Below are 5,127 nucleotides of genomic sequence, written 5' to 3' on the forward strand. Positions count from 1 at the left end.
TGGGGAGCTTTACTACTGCTTGAATACAGCCAATACCAGAGAGTGCTAAATACATTGATAGTTTATTTTGATCCCCATCTGGTTTCCTTTGTCAATTTTTCAACTCATTGGAATTCATAGGGAAAAGAATAAGACAGTGGGCTTTCTAGAACCTCCAACACCACAATTCCCACTTCCTTCTACAAATGAGAAAACTTCTTTGGTTTTGTAGGTGAAGAAAAATTTAGAGAATATGAGAAAATTCCATGTTATCATCATCAAAGAACAACATGAGAATAATGAGTTTTTTAAGTAAAGTAAAAATGTAGGATTTAGAAATGACTTTTATTCAGAACCTGAAGTTGTGGCAGTTAAATGATTCCTGTGGCTCTGTGGTATTCCTGCCATGTGAATCTGGAGCCCAGCTCAGTAATACTCTTCATTTGGCTAGAATCAGCAAAGCATTAACAAGTAAACATTTCTGGTTGTCTATTATTAAGCAATATACTGTTTTCCTTTATTTTCACTAATTCTATACACTTCTGCAATGAAATGGTGAAGAGTGCTTGTGATAATTGCTGGGTTTCTATATTTGTCTTAGAAATTGATACTTCATAAACACCAAAGTGCTATTTTATAGGTGCTATGTTTGCACATGTGTAGAAACTTAATAATTGTCACTACAATAATTTGATATTCTTTAAAGGGATATGGAAAGTAGAATAGAATTTTTTAAAATTTTCATTTTAATTTGACCCCACTCTAAGCTCCTAGGACTCTAACAATCTCATCTGACTGAAATTCAGATTTAAACAATGGGCCAACATACTTTGATATCTAAGAATAAATATTAGAGCCTGTTCTAAGTTGACAATAAACTCTACTTGTGTATAAAGATGCTCAAGAAATGCCCTTTTATGCTTAAGTAATGACAGGGCATTTCCATTAAGAGATGATAAAGGAGCAGAAAGTGGCAAATACTGTCTTGTCTTAGGAAAAAAAGCTATGGATCTTCTAAATGTCAAGAATGGAATTTACCAAAATTGCCTAAAATTTTGGAAAGTAAAAAATTTTAATACAAACCACAGTCTTGATTATTTCAGCTTGTGGCATTTCTTAAATAACCTTTAACCGTTATCATCTTCTGACTATGATATGCAAGAGGACTGATAAATAATGATGCAGATTTTTGTTTTTTATTTTCCTAGGCTTACAGAATCAGAAGTCAAACCTACCCATTTTGTGATCTAATCAATTTTCTTTGGTTTAACACCAAGACTAAGGCATCCCCTTCTTAGGCTCTTCCAGCTTATCTGAACTTAGAGTTTTAGTCATTCATGTAAAGCCTTTCATGCTGGTTTTTTATTTGAAAATGGGTCCCAGCTGCTCTGTCTTTCTTAATCCCTCCCAGAAAGGCATATGCGACAGCGTCTCCCCCTGGGAGACTGCAGCTCCAAAGCTTTTTCTCCTAGGTAGGGAAAGTGCAAAGCCAGACACTATTATCATGCTTACTTCCCCAGCTGGCTAATTAGATCAATATATGGTTTATATTTTGATGAATAGACAGGCATATAAGAATAGTGTGTGTGTGTGTGTGTGTATATATATGTGTGTATAATATATAAAAATATATATAGAGAGATAATGGAAATTGTTATTTAATTAGCATTTTTAAAACTTCTATCAGGTTCTAGCATATAATAAGGATTCAATAAATATTCAATGAATACTTGAAAATGTGAAGAGATAAAAATATTACATAGCCAGTACAGGAAATTTTGTAAGTTTAAATACTTCCCCATATTTTGTCTTTAAAATAAGATTGAAAGCTAAGTATTTGACTTATATGTTTTAAATCCAATCAAAGAACTAAAGACTATGAACTCATTCTCTAGCTTCTTTTTATAATTATATAACTTTAGTTTTGAACCTGCTCTCTAAGAACTTTTAAATTATTATCTCTTATCTGTATTTGATATTATTAAATCATTCACTTTTACATTTAGAAATTTTTAAACCAAATAATTCATAGGATAATTTGTATACCTTTTATATATAATATATAAAATTTTGTTCCTGAGTAAAGTTATAGACTCTATTCTTATATCCTATATTATGCCAGTGATGTATAACAATATATACTTTATTTATACTCAGAGTAGATACTTACATTCTTTTTTCTTTTCACACGTCAAGGGTAATGTGCTGACATCATAACAAGGTTGGAGGGAGGCCCATCTCACAAGAATGTGGAAACCCAATCATCATGCTTATGAACCACAAAAGGATCTAGATACTGATGTTCCTATACACTTATTTCTTATGTCGAATAGTGCAATTCAAATTCTATTCTTGAAGCTTAAAGATAACATTGGAGCTGGCCCAAACTAGTAAAATATATGATTGTGAATGGAGTTTATCAAAATGTAGACACAGTAAATATCCTAAAGCTTTAAATCTACTTCTGAAACAATGACAAGCAGGCATTTTGCCAGTGCTAATTTGCTTTACTCTATTGATTCAAGCTTTATTGGGCATTCTATTGTCTCTTCTAGGGAAGGCATCAGTGGAATACAGAACAGTGAAGGCTTATTCAAGATAATGTTATACTCATGAATCACGCCACCTAATACCTGCACTGCTTAGACATGCAGAACATAAAGCGTCTTCTCAAGATATCTCAGTAAAAGATATCTCTTCTTATATACAAAAGTGGAACTTGTTTTGTGCAATCACTTCTTGGTACAGTTACAATAGAAAATTCTCAGATGTACTCCACTACTTTAAATAGATTCCTGCATCATTGAAAAAAATTTTCCAAGTCAACATAGTCTTAAAAACTAGTCAATCTTTTCTTTAACATCTTGAATGAATAAAAGCTCACTCCCCTTATTACTACTTATTGCTGCCTCTCTGTCTCTAATTGCTCACCCTCTTTGAGCACATTACTGAGTGAGGATAAAAAAGCATGCATTTTTTTTGTGTAGTAAAGTCATCAGAATATTATATGTTCAAGGGAGAAGAAGAAATTTTTGAAGACAAATGGAATGGTGATCTCATTTTTCATCCCTATTATAGGCTAAGCATAACAGTCATGGTGTGACTATGGCTGTCTGAGCAACTGATTTACATTTCTCCTTTACTGCATTTCTTGCCCTGGTTGAATGACATAATGGGTATTTGTCTAACTCATTGTTCTCGGGAGAGTTGGCTTCTTATTTTCTGTGCAGTTAGAAACACCAAATCTTGTTTTTATACATTAATATCATCTACTAGGTGTCAATACAAAGCCTTTAAATATAGGGCTTTGCAGAAGAGGGATTTAGATTCATGGTTTCTAGAGTTTCGAAGAGGATAACCCTATGTATGCAGTTCAAAAATTTACATTTGTTTCCTGACACAGGTATTGATCATGATTTTCTATTTTGGTAAACTTTAGATATGAAGGTAAAATAAGCTGACATCTAGCTTCTTTGTGTGTTTGAAAAATGGCTTAAATGAGGGAGGTCTGTTGGTTACTGCAGCAGAGTGAATAGAACAGCAGGATAGCACAGAAGCTGAAAAAATGTTCTCATAGCATCTCAGTGGGGTTGAAAATAGGTACTACTCTTTTATCAAAAAAGAAAATAGGACATCATAAAGTTCATGATATCCACTTAGAGTTATCTATTATTATGCTTTAATATCTTAAAATGTAAAATTTGTAAATAGATCACTAAACAGGTGAAACATTTAAAGCTATTCCCTTTTCTTCTTTATTAAAGAGATCAAACCTAAAATAAAAAATAAAAAATAATAATAAAAGAAGAGATGAGCCACTGCTCTTCTTCTTGCTGGGTGAGTCATTTTACCTGAAGGACAGCCTTGCTTTGGTTCTTAACTGTTTTGTTAGGTCTTCCTCTTACTGATGGAAGATGCTCCCTTGTGATAAGCAGGGTTAACTGTAAACTTAATTAAAAACCAAAAGTAAACTGTAGATTTATCTTTAATCAAACCATAGGGCAACTTTGACTAATCTATTTTTACCAGGCAGTACCTTTAGGCTAAAAGTAGGGACAGCCAGTATAATGGCTAAATACTGAAGAGGAGTGGAAAACATGGGAAGAAAAATCTGAAAATTCACTAATCGGTGGTATAATTGTGAAAGACAGGCTTTTAGGATCACATGGTGTTAGAACCAGGTCACTTAGTTCAACCCACTGATTGTATAGAAGTAAACCCTGATCCCAGAGAGATGAAGTGGTACCCACTCAAATGTAAATGGGCTGGCCATTGGAGGCTGGGGATGTAGGGCACTGACCTCTTCTCAGGTCCAGCTTGTTGCTGGTAGGAAGCAAAATGGGACCAGTACTACCAGTCTTCAAAGGAAGGCATAAATCTAGATGTTAATGTAAAATTTTCCAATTTTAAAATTTTGACAAGTACATAATTCAAAAATTTTGAAACAGTAAGTCATACAATATATCTGTGGGTCTCAAGCTTGTAACTTTTGGGTGAAAACATGTGACATAGTCCATAAAATTCTTCTTTAATAACTATAACCATAAAATAAGAGTTTTACAAAATTATAACTACAGTAACCAACATAGCATGGGACGGCTACAAAAACAGACACATACATCAATGGAACAGAATAGAGACCCAAGGAATAATGCCACACATCTACAATTATCTGATCTTCAACAAAATCAGCAATAACAAGCAATGGGGAAATGACTCCCTATTCCATAAATGATACTAGGATAAATGGTTAGCAATATGCAGAAGATTGAAACTGGACCCCTTTCCTACACCATACACAAAAATCAATTCAAGATGGATTAAAGACTTAAAAATGAAACCTAAAATTATAAAAACCCTGAAATGTAAGGTAGGGAATACCATTCTTGACATAGGCCCTGGCAAAGATTTCATGATGACACCCAATGCAATTGCAACACAAAAAGTCTACAAATGGGACTAATTAAACTAAAGAGCTTCTGCACAGCAAAATAAACTATCAACAGAGTAAACAGAAAACCTACAGAATGGGAGAAAATATTTGCAAACTATGCATCTGACAAAGGTCTAATATCTAGCACTTATAAGGAACTTAAACAACTTAACAAGCAAAAAGCAAACGACCCCAGTAAAAAGTGGGCAAAAGAT

At 33.4% G+C, this 5,127-nt stretch overlaps 1 non-coding gene across 1 annotated transcript; it reads right to left on the bottom strand.

The window, feature by feature from the left end:
- Positions 1-2,168: 2,168 nt before the first annotated feature.
- Positions 2,169-2,268, bottom strand: LOC124903107 (small nucleolar RNA U13). Its single transcript, XR_007063644.1, has one exon. It is a non-coding gene; the product is annotated as a small nucleolar RNA U13 (small nucleolar RNA).
- Positions 2,269-5,127: the final 2,859 nt, after the last annotated feature.

Source organism: Homo sapiens, chromosome 12 (genome assembly GCF_000001405.40).
Source record: "Homo sapiens chromosome 12, GRCh38.p14 Primary Assembly".
NCBI lineage: Eukaryota > Metazoa > Chordata > Mammalia > Primates > Hominidae > Homo > Homo sapiens.